Here is a 13,806-nt window from a genome sequence, read left to right as displayed (position 1 = left end):
GACACATAGCCCAATGGAACAGAACAGAGACCTCAGAAATAACACCACACATCTACAACCATCTGATCTTTGACAAACCTGACACAAACAAGCAATGGGGAAAGGATTCCCTATTTAATAAATGGTGTTGGGAAAACTGGCTAGCCATATGCAGAAAAATGAAACTGGACCCCTTCCTTACACCTTATAAAAAATTAACTCAAGATGGATTAGACTTAAACATAAGACCTCAACCCATAAAAACCCTAGAAGGAAACCTAGGCAATATCATCCAGGACATAGGTATGGGCAAAGACTTCATGACTACAACACCAAAAGCAATGGCAACAAAAGCCAAAATTGACAAGTGGAATCTAAAGAGCTTCTGCACAGCAAAAGAAACTATCATCAGAGTAAACAGGCAACCTACAGAATGGGAGAAAATTTTTGCAATCTATCCATTTGACAAAGGGCTAATATCCAGAATCTACAAAGAATTTAAATTTACAGGAAAAAAACAACCCCATCAAAAAGTGGGCAAAGGATATGAACAGACACTTCTCAAAAGAAGACATTTATGCAGCCAACAAACATATGAAAAAAACCTCATCATCAATGGTCATTAGAGAAATGCAAATCAAAACTACAATGTGATACCGTCTCACACCAGTTAAAATGGCGATCATTAAAAAGTCAGGAAACAACAGATGCTGGAGAGGATGTGGAGAAATAGGAATGCTTTTACACTGTTGGTGGGAGTGTAAATTAGTTCAACCATTGTGGAAGACAGTGTGGCGACTCCTCAAGGATCTAGAACCGGAAATACCATTTGACCCAGCAATCCCATTACTGGGTATATACCCAAAGGATTATAAATCATTCTACTATAAAGACACATGCACACGTATATTTACTGTGGCACTGTTCACAATAGCAAAGACTTGGAACCAACCCAAATGCCCATCAACGATAGACTGGATAAAGAAAATGTGGCACATATACACAATGGAATACTATGCAGCCATAAAAAAGGTATGAGTTCCTTTCCTTTGCAGGGACATGGATGAAGCTGGAAACCATCATTCTCAGCAAACTAACACAGGAACAGAAAACCAAACACTGCATGTTCTCACTCATAAGTGGGAGTTGAACAATGAGAACCCATGGACACAGGGAAGGGAACATCACACACTGGGGCCTGTGAGGGGGTGGGGGGCTATTGGAGGGATAGCATTAGGAGAAATACCTAATGTAGATGATGGGTTGATGGGTACAGCAAACTACCATGGCACGTGTATACCTACATAACAAACCTGCATGTTCTGCACATGTACCCCAGAACTTAAAGTATAATAAAAAAAGAAACTGACCTGGGGAAATATTTTTGTGCTTACTTCATAGTTTAAACTAGACTATATCTAAAGATAATACAAATCCTAAAATCTTGCTAAGACAGTCATTAATGAATAATAAAAATAAAATAAAAACAAAAGCAAAGGAGAGAATGACCACAGGGTTGAGGATGAGACAAAATTCAAGAGGAGAGATGGAGGAATAGAACTAGGGTTATCACATAGTTAGATGTAGGTTATTACTACAGTCCTAATATTCAGATTAAGTGGTGAGTCCAGGGGTGTTTATGAAATTATGATTGATAGTTACATAGATACATAGATAAAAGCTCTGAATGAAACAATGAAGAGAGCTTCTCTTTAATCAAGAATGGATAGATAAGAGAGCAGTAAGGGAGGAGGGGAGAGTGATGAGATCAGGAGTTTAATTAGACAGCTCTTAAAGCAATCTAGGGAAGAGAGAGTGAAGATACAAAATGAATACAAGACTAATTTTGCTGTTATGGATAAACTCAGTAACATCAAATGAAATTAGGTGTTTATTGCCCATAGTGAAATAATAAATACCAAAGAGGATAGATACTATATAAGGAGGTATGCTCCTTTGCATCTACGATCTAGATGCAAAGGTTATGTGGAAATAGAAACCACAGAATGAATTATTATGATAGCAATAAGATGTCTACAAGATTTTGAGTTTGAGTCACTAAAAGGAAAAAGATGCCCTTAATGACAGTAGTGAACAAAAGAGTAATTTAAGAAAAAAATAGTTCCATTTTGGGTGTGTTTTTAGTGTTCCTGTGACTCTTGCGGATGTATTGAATTAAATAGTAGAATGAAGACACAAAGCTTTGGAGCAAAATTAACAGAACATGGATCAGAGGGGAGCTGAGAAGTCAAGTTTTCAACAAAGAGGCTTGCAGAATGACTACAAGAAAGGGAGCCAGGCTGGAGAATGAGGATTCTAGTTGGGGAAGGAAGATATTTGTACAGTCAAGACTTGATGTCCCTCCAAGTCAAACTATGTGTCTCTCTCCCTTTTATATCAGTCAAGGGACATAGCACAGTGTATTGTCCTGCACTACTGAGCACTCAAATACTTGTTTTTGAAAAAAATGAAACAAGAAAGAAAGTGATAAGTGCTGCAAAAGAAGTTAATGTGCCACGTAGGTTCAGAGAAAGTAGCCATTTCATTACATATGAAATGTATGTATGCATGTGGGTGTGTGCATTTCGTCTATCACATATATTATTGTCTCTTTGAATTTTCAAAATAGTCCTGTGGCACAGATGGCAATAGCCCTCTTTCCAGATGAAGTCACATCTCTCAAAGATGAAGTGATTTAGCCCATGTCTTTCAATTAGAAAAATGCAGATCTTGTATTTGAGCCTAGTTTTCCTCATGCTGAATGCTCTTCCTCTGCCTCCACAGCTGGCCTGTAGAGGGAATATAGAATAATAAAGAGAGATATCTAAAGAAGTCAGGATGTGTGCACATGCAGGAAACATGGCTAGAACTTTAACAAGCAGAGGGGACACTCCAGCCATGGTAATGGTCCCTTTTGTAATTCCTATTTATTTATTACTTTTTAAGTTATTCCCCTTTATCTTATGTTTTCATTCGTGGTTGTAGGATTTCGATATACATGCTTGGCTTCTCACAGTCCATTTACAGTTAATATCACACCACCTCATGTAAAATGTAGAAGCTCTGTATTTGCATAATCTCATTTATTGCTCCAATGCCTTTTGCTAGATGCTATATATATAACATCTATCTACATTACAAAGCAACCAAATCAATGTCATAATTTTTCATTATTGTTTACATTTTTCAAAATGTTGTGGGTACATAGGTGTGTATATTTATGGGGTACATGAGATATTTTGATACAGGCATACAGTGTGTAATAATCACATCAGGGTAAGTGGTGTATCCATCACCTCAAGTATTTATCCGCTGTGTTACAAACAATCCAATTATACTTAGTTATTTTTAATGTATGATTGAATTGACTATAGTGATGGTATTGTGCTATCAAATACTAGATCTTCTTCATTCTCTAAAAGATAAAAGGGGGTCCTTGCAAATGCTCATCTGGTCAAACTAAGAACACATGAGTTGGATTTGGGCTCCCTTTATGTTCTACCTCTCCAGGTTTTAAGAAAAGAAGTGAAATAGGAAGAAGGACTAACACAGATGACTTTTCCAACTCCAAGACCTGCATTGCTCTCTTCCCAACTTTTGTTCATTCAGCTGCACCAGTAAGCATTCCACTTTGATGAATGGATTGAACATCAAATACCACAGCTAAGCCATGTCATGTGTCTGGAAGACAGAATATGGATTTCATGTATTTCTACTTTCTTCTTAAACAAGCAGCTTATTCCCTTCCTTTTACCAAAGGTAGAAAAAAAATAAACTAGATTTTTTTAAGCATAAAATTAGGTGGTTGTTCTTTTGTTCAATCCAATGGAATAATATATTTAAACTATTATACTGCTGATTTAAAGGTATATCATAATTATACCCCTAGAACATACAAGACATTGGCCACTGTCCCAAAGAGATATCAAGAATAACCCATATGCCCAAGTTATCCAAATTCTATGCTTCTTTATTCTCCAGATTCCCTGGATAGATCAACTGGGTTAGGGAGACTCATGGGGCCATTTCTACAGGAGAAAACAGAGACTCCATTTTCTGGGTGTCATTTCACTTTCCACCTGCCGCATGGAGCTGTTGATGCCACATCTGCCAGAATGGTGTTCAGGTTTCTGGCACCTGCCATGTTTAGGGATGTTCAGATTCTTATCTCTGCTCTCTCCAGTCCAGAGAAGATAAAAATAGGGCAAGTGAGCCTGCACCAACATAGTCTAAGCCTTGCTTCTCGGGTTCTCACGTCTGGAAGAAGAAAAGATGGCATAAGCGTATCTTCCTGCACTAACACAGGCGCGTACACACTCTTGCTCACACACAGCATTAAGACATTAGAAGGATGTGGCTCCAAACATACAAGTGTCTCTGCTGTTTATGGAATCTTCATCAAAGAGAAGCTGCATTATACTGCATTTTCTTCTGTTTTATACATTTTATGAGCCCATGGTTTGCTTTTGGGGTAAGACTTCCTAATTAATTTATTTTTCAATAAGGAGTACATTCACATATTCAAACTCCAAAATGTGCTAAAAGGTACACATGGAAATCGTTTTTCTCTCCTGTCTCTCATCCAATTCCATACCTCTAACAAGTAATCATTGTTATTGGTTTCCTGTTTATTCTTCCAGAATTTTTAAATAAACATAATAGCTAAAATCATTCATATGACTTTGGAGCCAACAATAGTTTACACCATCTGGCCCTTTTCATGGTCCTACAGGCCTCTATCTGAACTACCCTGGAAAGCTCCAGAAAACAAAAATCCACTCTTTGCTTGTGAACTTGGAATACCAAAATTCTTCTGAGACTCCAGAGGTGTCGTGGGCCGGTTCCCAGTGCCTTATCCTCTCTTGGACCCGATCACCACAGGGATCCAGCGCTGGATTCCTAATCCCCTTGGGTTTGGGGCATCTCCCAGAATTAATTACCTCCAATTTAACATGTTTTGAAATTGACCCAACCTGTCACTAAATATAGCAGGACCCTAATTCCAGGTGCTGATGAAATTATAAGGACTCATTTCTCATGGTCTCCGTGAATAAGGAAAGTGAACAGACATTAGAGCAAATTTTAAGTAAGTAGAAAAGGGGCAGGATGTGATTATCAGGCTCTGTGTGGGGTTCTGTGAATGCAGCTTCCCAAGATACATGTGCTGGCATGATCCTGATCTTGACCTGGAGCTTTTGTCCCTTACTCTCAGAATGGACAAAGATAAGAGGTTCTCTAATCCTGTGAGACAAAAGGAGGAATTGAAGGAGAGGTAGTGACGTCAAGAGTCATCATTCAACTCACCCCGAGTCTGAAGCGGTTTTCCTTTTGGTGCCTTTAAAAGGAGTTTTTGTCACGTTCCTGTCCCCGTCTTCAGGGGGAGAGATGCAGGTGAAGCAGGGAGAATTCTGACAGTGACAGCCTGGGAACTGGCGAGAACGATCGGGTGAGGACTAGAGGAGCTTCTTTTTTTTTTTTTTTTTTTTTTTGAGATGGAGTCTCACTCTTATTGCCCAGGCTGGAGTGCAATGGCACGATCTCGGCTCACTACAACCTCCGCCTTCCAGGTTCAAGCGATTCTCCTGCCTCAGCCTCCCAAGTAGCTGGAATTACAGGCACCCGCCACCACGCCCAGCTAATTTTTGTATTTTTAGTAGAGATGGGGTTTCACCATGTTGGCCAGGCTGGTCTCGATCTCCTGACCTCGTGATCCGCCTGCTTCGGCCTCCCAAAGTGCTGGGATTCCAGGCGTGAGGCACCGCGCCCGGCCTGGCTTCTTTTTTCTTGTCCCTTCTCCGGCCCATTCCAGCCTTTGGTGCATTGAGAGCCCGTCTCTCAAAATCAGCCCTGTAACCATAACAATGACATGATGCTGCTTTCATAGCCAAAAAGGCCAAAGACCCAGATCCTCAGGACCTTACAGACAATCAGAGTGATTGTGAAATGGGAGAGCAGGAAGCAACAGAGACCTCTGTCCAAACAATCCCCTGATGAGCCCTTTCTCTGCAGGAGACACGGATGCAGTCACACCCCGATGTCCACACCATATGCACACTCTTGCCCACACAGAACACTGACGCCTTAGAAGGATGAGCCTTCAGCCATACGGTTCCTCTGCTATTTGTGGAATCTTCGTCAAAGAGAAGCTGCATTCGACTGCATTTTCTTCCATTTTATACATTTTATGAGCTTGTGGCTTGCCTTTGGGGTAAGATTTTCTTAAGTAATTTATTTTTCAGTAAGTAGTACATTCTCATAGTCAGACTTCAAAAAGTGCTGAAAGGTAGATATGAACATCTTTCTCCCCTCCTGCCTTTCATCTACCCAGTTCTGTGCCTGTAACAAGTAATCGCTGTTACTGGTTTCCTGTTTAATTCTTCCAGAAAGTTTTAATGAACATACTAGACAATATATTGCATGTTATTTTGGAAGGTGGAGTTAAAGTGTTATTTGTGACCAAAATAAGAATAGGGACTTGAGTTGTGTCCTGATCACTCCGGTCCCCCACCACATCCTTATTCCCTCTGGTTTGTTTTTAACCTTATAACTTTCACTTCTTTCCTCCTTGCATGTTTCTTTCTTCATCAGTGGGGAGCATAAGTTCTCTACACTTTATTTCCACCTTCAAACTTGAACCTGGGTCCTAAGGCATCCAAACTAAGTTCACCAAAAATTGTAATCCATCTACCACAGACAAAATGTCTTCTAAAACAGCACATAGCTAATATAGAATATAAGAACGATTTTATTTTGAGTTGTTGGAGTTAGGGTTCCTAATAAGCCTAAGAAAATGCCTGCTGACTCCACGTGAAAAGAAAGAAGGACGATGCATGGAAAGGGTTTTCTATGTGGACGAAGGGCTGGCCATTCACTGGGCACGTGGTTGTCTAAAAGTTGAGACCTAAAGGTCTAAAAGGAGAAGGAAGGAAATAAGATCTCTGGTCAGTGACTTGGGGACCAAGAGAAAAAATGGAGGGGAAACGGGCTGAGGTTTCCATCTCTGCTAAACTAGAAACAGCCAAGAGCCCCACGATGAAGGAGGGTGAGGATTCTAAGGCCTTTTTAATCTGCGTAAGTCAATGAAAGGCTTGTCCTACATGAGGGAGAGGTGAGAATCAATTCCAGGCACCACAAAAAGCAACAGCTGTTAAAGTGAGGGAGCTGCAGGGGTGATCGTGCTCACCAGGGCGTCGGGAGAGCCTTGTAGATGCACCTGTAAATATGCACTGAGGCTGGCACGGTGCCTCACGCTTGTAATCCCAGCAATTTGGGAGGCCGAGGCAGTTGGATCATTTGAGTCCAGGAGTTCGAGACCAGCCTGGCCAGCGTGGCAAAACCCCATCTCTACTAAAAATAGAAAAATTAGCCAAGTGTGGTGTCATGTGCCTGGAATCCCAGCTACTCGGGAGGCTGGGGCAGGAGAATCGCTTGAACCCAGGAGGCAGAGCCTTTCATTGACTTAGGCAGATTAAAAAGGTGAGATTGCGCCACTGCATGCCAGCCTGGATGACAGAGTGAGACTCTGTCTTAAAAAAAAAAAAAATGCACTGAGCCCCACGAATCCACCCACTTCACCTAGAGCTCTGTCTTGGGAGGATGAGGAAGGCAGAGGCTAATAAACACATGCCTTGAGTGGTAATGGGGACTCTTGGTAGGGAGTAAGGGAAACATCACCTACTATGACCACATTTTGGCCAAGAACACGCAAGGGGGAGACCTTGGAGATTTCAGCGGCTGGCAGATAAAATGATTAAAGAAGACCACGTGGGCAGGTGAGAAGAACAAGAAGCTTGGGATTAAACAGTGGAGGCTGCATCCAGGCTCTGCCACTTGCTGGATGTGACTTAAGGCTCAAGGGATTCTTCGTTTTTCTATGAATGAAGGAAAGATACCCTTTTCTCATTAATGGAACATAACACTTTTAAGAATATTAATTATTTCCTTAATAAATGCAAAAAGTACCTTCCTACTTTGTTTTTTTACTTTGCATGTGATCTTTTTCTTTAAAAGAATTTTATTATTATTATTATACTTTAAGTTTTAGGGTACATGTGCACAACATGCAGGTTTGTTACATATGTATACATGTGCCATGTTGGTGTCCTGCACCCATTAACTCGTCAATGCTATTCCCTCCCCCCTCCCCCCACCCCACAACAGTCCCCAGAGTGTGATGTTCCCCTTCCTGTGTCCATGTGTTCTCATTGTTCAATTCCCATCTATGAGTGAGAACATGCGGTGTTTGGTTTTTTGTCCTTGCAATAGTTTACTGAGAATGATGATTTCCAATTTCATCCATGTCCCTACAAAGGACATGAACTCATCATTTTTATGGCTGCATAGTATTCCATGGTGTATTTTTAATTTAATTTGATCAAACCAATTATTCCTTTCCTTTCTTGTTTTCTTCACTGTTTTTTACTTAGAAAGTCCACCCTTGTCCTGAGAGTAAATATTGTGCTGCATTTTCTCCTGGTTGCTTTAGAGTTACATCTGCAGGGAAAATGCTTTAACCATCTGAAACTTATTCAGGTAAGTGCTATTAGGTTGGAATTTAAATTAATTTTCCAGAGACTTAACCAGCTTGTCCCAGCATTGTTCGTTCAATCTCTTCTTCCTTTTGATTGGCAGTGCCACTGTTAGTAAAGCAAAGTCTGAGGAATACTGTGCTCTGCTTCTGGGTTTTCTGTTTTTTCCTTTGATGAATTGTATTGAGGAGAGAAGTAACATATACCACAGTCCCTGGGGCATCCACATACTAGCAGAAGATAGTTCGGTAAGACATAGCCATGTTCAGGCCAGGCACGGTGACTCACGCCTGTAATCCCAGCACTTTGGGAGGCCAAGGTGGGCAGATCACCTGAGGTCAGGAGTTTGAAACTAGCCTGGCCAATGAGGAGAAACCCCATCTTTACTAAAAATACAAAAAAAAAAAAAATAGCCGGGTGTGGTGGCGTGTGCCTGTAGTCCCAGCTACTTGGGAGGCTGAAGCAGCAGAATTGCTTGAACCCAGGAGGCAGAGGTTGCAGTGAGCCAAGATTCTGCCACGGCACTCCAGCCTGGGTGACAGAGTGAGACTCCGTCTCAAAAATAAATAAATAAGAAATATCCATGGTCAGAGAGAGAATAAGACATAAGATGCCACTATTGCCTAGTAAGTAGTAATTTTAGTGTACGTAACTAAGGCTTACAAATCCATAGGTTATATTAAACTCTGAAGGTAAAAAAAAGCGGCACAGGGAAACTGATTCCGTGGGTTAATCACTCAGCTGAAACACTGTTCCATCCCAAGAATTTCACCTAGAAAGAATGCATTTGTTTGGAACACTTATCTCTCTGTAACCGTAGTGTTTCCCTACATATTCCTATGGCCAGGACTCCATTAACTCAAAGCTACCACTGAACCTACTAACAAAAAGGTTGGCTGGGTGTGGTGGCTCATGCCTGTAATCCCAGCACTTTGGGAGGCCGAGGCAGGTGGGTCACCTGAGGTCAGGAGTTCAAGTCCAGCCTGGCCAATGTGATGAAACCCCATCTCTACTAAAAATACAAAAAAAAAAAAAAAAAAAATAGCCAGGTGTGGTAGCAGTGGCCTGTAATCCCAGCTACTCAGGAGGCTGAGACAAGGGAATCACTTGAGCCCAGCAGGTGGAGACTGCAGTGAGCTGAGTTCGTGCTACTGCACTCCAGCCTGGGTGACAGAGTGAGACTCCATCTCAAAAATCATAACAATAATAATAAAGGTTCAGGCTAATTCTTATGCCTGATATTACCTCTATAGCAAAGCCCCTTTCCATTCTTCCCACTCTTTCCATTCTCTGGGGTTTATGTATTTACATGATAGATTCATACTGAGCATCTGTGTTGTACCAGCCTCAAGGCTAATGCTAGATTTCAAAGCTGAGCCAATTAGGCACCATCTCTGCCTACTCCCAGTGATGCTCACAGCAGAATGAGGGACACTCATATAAACAGACACTCAGAATCCAAGGTGACACGTGCTGTGATGGGGGAGGCACTGCATTAGGAAGGTCACGAACCTGAGTTTCTGGTGAGAGGATGAGTTGGGAAAGACTTCCCAGAAGAGGTGACATCTAAGGTGAGACCTGAAGCTTAGCTCGTCTGATAAATGGGATGGGAAAAACTATTTCAGCCTGAGAAAGCCTAAAGGTGAGGGAGTATCTGGGCCTTTAAAATAATTGAAACTATGATTAGTGCATAAAGTGTGGAGTGGAGGAGGGAGTTTCATGAGGAACTGGGGATGTCTGTAATAAATGACGGTAAGATCCAGGACATTCAGCCGTGTTCAGTTTAGAGTTTATCCTGGGAGTAATGAGGAGTGTATGAAGGATTTTTCAAGCAGAAAGACAAGAGTCGAATTTGATTTTTAGCAAGCCTATTCTCTGTGTATTTAGAACAGCAGGTGGCAGGTGGGCATACCTGGGGGCATGGAGATCAACTGCCCAAATCCAAGTGAGAAATCACAGTGCCCTGAATGACATGAGCTGCAGCTGGGACTGATGGTGACCAGTAAACAGAGAGACGTCAGTAAATTGTAGCCATATTGAGAAGGTAAAATTGCCAGGCTTTGGTGGTGGTTGGATGTAGGCAGGGAGGGAGAAACGTGGGTCAATAATGACGCTCAGGTTTCTGGCCAGACCCGCTGTGTAGATAACAGTGATAATGATTTCCATGTTAGCCATGCTTTTCCCAATTCCAAAACCCCTTTCCAGGAGCTGTCTTTTTAATTATTGGTACAATGGGCTCATTTGACCTGTAAAATCTTGGGTTGTATAAATGTCATAGTTTCTACATGAACACTACCAGAGCAAAGCCAGCAAGCCCCTCCAGCCCAGCCCCAAAATACACATATTGGCTTAATGCTTATGGAATAAATTTAAAAGCCTCTCATTGCATTACAAACAAATCTGTGGTTTCTCATAGCACCAAGCACAGGAATTTGCAAATATTTAGTCGAACCCTATGAAATGGCCATTTTTGCAGGTCCCAAAGAGTCAAATAGTGGAGATTTCCTATGATCCAACCTCACACTAGAAGATCAACACTGGAATATTGCATAATTTTCAGAGTTCACAATCCAGGGCTTACCAACGTCACCCAATTAACCCAACTTTCTTCCTACAGACAAATGGAGGGGAAAAATCTGACCAGCATCTCAGAATGTTTCCTCCTGGGGTTCTCTGAGCAGCTGGAGGAGCAGAAGCCCCTCTTTGGGTCCTTCCTGTTCATGTACTTGGTCACGGTGGCAGGCAACCTCCTCATCATTCTAGTCATCATTACTGACACTCAACTCCATACCCCCATGTACTTCTTTCTAGCCAACCTCTCCCTTGCAGATGCCTGCTTTGTGTCCACCACAGTCCCTAAGATGCTGGCAAACATACAGATCCAGAGTCAGGCCATCTCCTACTCAGGGTGTCTACTACAGTTGTATTTTTTCATGTTATTTGTGATGCTGGAGGCATTCCTCTTGGCGGTCATGGCCTATGACTGCTACGTGGCCATATGCCACCCACTTCATTACATTCTGATCATGAGCCCTGGGCTCTGCATCTTCCTCGTGTCTGCATCCTGGATCATGAATGCCCTCCACTCCCTTCTACACACACTTCTGATGAACAGCCTGTCCTTCTGCGCAAACCATGAGATCCCACACTTCTTCTGTGACATCAATCCCCTCCTGAGTCTGTCCTGCACAGACCCCTTCACCAATGAGCTGGTGATCTTCATCACTGGGGGTCTCACAGGACTCATTTGTGTGCTTTGCCTGATTATCTCTTACACGAACGTTTTCTCGACCATCCTGAAGATCCCATCAGCTCAGGGGAAGCGGAAAGCCTTTTCCACCTGCAGCTCTCATCTCTCCGTGGTCTCTCTCTTCTTTGGGACTTCTTTTTGTGTTGATTTCAGTTCTCCCTCAACCCACTCGGCCCAGAAGGACACAGTTGCATCAGTGATGTACACAGTGGTAACTCCAATGTTGAATCCCTTTATCTACAGTTTGAGGAACCAAGAAATAAAGTCTTCCCTGAGAAAGTTAATCTGGGTTCGGAAAATTCATTCCCCTTAGTGGTAGTGACTTGACATCCAATATGGGGGTCTCCATGCACCTGCGTTCACCACAGTAAGCAGTGAAGAATGAAAGATGGAGAGAATCTAGAGACCTCTGTTCCAGTACCTACGATCTGAACCTGAAATATTCATGTCTAAGCTACAGGACTGCATCATAACCCATCATCAGGCCAATGTCACAGGTGAAGTTCTTACAATTATGTTCTAAAACCACAGCCATCCAGATGTATAATATAATGTCATGCCTTATTATATTTACTATAGTTAATAATATTGATGATTTAATAATGTTATTAGTTAATGCTTTTTAAACAACATGGGACAGCTCATGACTGAAATAAGGGAATATCTGGCTGGGCTGTTGTATAGGGCCAAGAATAAAATTCAGGGAAGGACGACCTTCCCCCAGCATCACTGTGATCCTGATCACTCGGATCCCCACCCACAGTGTTTCTGCCACAGGCACTGCCCGTATCTGTGATGCTCCCATGCTCAGTGATGAGGAACTGGGTCTAGGAAGGGCTTGATGGAGATGGCATCTTCAGACAGACTCACTGCAGTGTCTTACCAGGCCTCCAAGACCCATAATCCTCCTGCCACCTTAGACTTCATGTGAAAACCTCAGGTTCCTCTTCAGGGCAATTTTTTCCACACTCATTTCATCTCTGCAGCCCCAATGCTTACCACATGGCGTAATGCCTGGTACCATTGATAGGTGCTGAATCCCACTGAAATGGTTACAACTTAAAGTTAGGGGAAAAGAATGATTTTTATGGACACTTTATGCTCTCCTGCCTGAATGATTAAAGCCTCCTCCTAGTTGGTCTTCAGTCCTCAGTCTACCCGCCTTCCATCAACTCTGTACACCATAATCAGATTAATCTTCATAGGGTACCATTATATCACTAAGAGAAATGTCCAGTGGCTTGAAACTGCCTGCAGAATCAACTTCCAGCTGTTTACCGTAGCATGCGAGCCCAGTGCCACCAGTTCATAACTGATGTCCACAGTTAACCACACTCTTCCGTATTTCTCCCAAGGTCAACTCAGGCCAACGGTTTCAGAATACATTGATTATTGTGCATGGTTGCCAAAAACGACTTGGAAAGCTTTGTCAGTAGACGTTGTGGCAAGACTCTGTACAGTACGTTACAGCCACAACCAATACGTTTCTATAGGAAAATAAAATGTCACAACTGGGTGCTGTTTTTCATTCTTGTTGTCTGTTTACCTTCAGGTATCTGACTGCAGGCTGCTGTGCCATAGATGGTAATTGCTGTAGATAATAGCAATTCTAGCTCACCAGCTCCCTATTCACCTTATCTGAAGCCCAGACACGATCGTCTGATAATAAAAGGTAGTAGAGCAAAGTGGTAAGCAGCGTGGACGCTGTGGAATCAAGTTCAAACCCCGGCTTTGCCACGTTTAAGCTGTGTGATCCTAGGAAATTATTTAATGTTTGGAAAAAAAAAAAAAAAAGAAAAAGCCTACCTCATTGTGTTGTAAGTTTAAATATGATAATATATGTAAAGCATTCTCTGTGATAATTAAATGAAATGTGCATAAATACACATACAGGGTTAACTCCTAGTACGTAGTGTATTTTCAATCGGTGTCAGCCATTGAGGTAGAAGCTCTGAAGCAGGTTCACTGTGCACCGGTTACCAACTTGTCCGAGTCGAGTGAAACAGAACACCCACACAGACAACAAGTGACATCAAGCACGTTTATTAT

At 42.1% G+C, this 13,806-nt stretch overlaps 1 protein-coding gene and 1 long non-coding RNA gene across 2 annotated transcripts in view; both read left to right on the top strand.

Moving 5' to 3' along the window:
• LOC100288728 (uncharacterized) overlaps window positions 1–3,711 on the top strand; it is a 41,967-nt gene extending 38,256 nt beyond the window's left edge. The window contains exon 4 of the long non-coding RNA NR_147912.1: window positions 3,490–3,711. This is a non-coding gene — a long non-coding RNA (uncharacterized LOC100288728). The remainder of the gene's footprint in view (window positions 1–3,489) is intronic.
• Window positions 3,712–11,128: 7,417 nt separating this feature from the next.
• OR1G1 (olfactory receptor family 1 subfamily G member 1) lies at window positions 11,129–12,070 on the top strand. The gene has a single exon (NM_003555.1). It carries the CDS (start codon window positions 11,129–11,131, stop codon window positions 12,068–12,070), a length of 942 nt encoding a protein of 313 aa, NP_003546.1.
• Window positions 12,071–13,806: the final 1,736 nt, after the last annotated feature.

Source organism: Homo sapiens, chromosome 17 (assembly GCF_000001405.40).
Source record: "Homo sapiens chromosome 17, GRCh38.p14 Primary Assembly".
Lineage (NCBI taxonomy): Eukaryota > Metazoa > Chordata > Mammalia > Primates > Hominidae > Homo > Homo sapiens.
This window is presented reverse-complemented; position numbering and strand designations above follow the sequence as displayed.

Bases quoted from the DNA above. Each gene is read 5' to 3' on its own strand.
- OR1G1 (NM_003555.1), top strand. From the start codon at position 11,129: ATGGAGGGGAAAAATCTGACCAGCATCTCAGAATGTTTCCTCCTGGGG.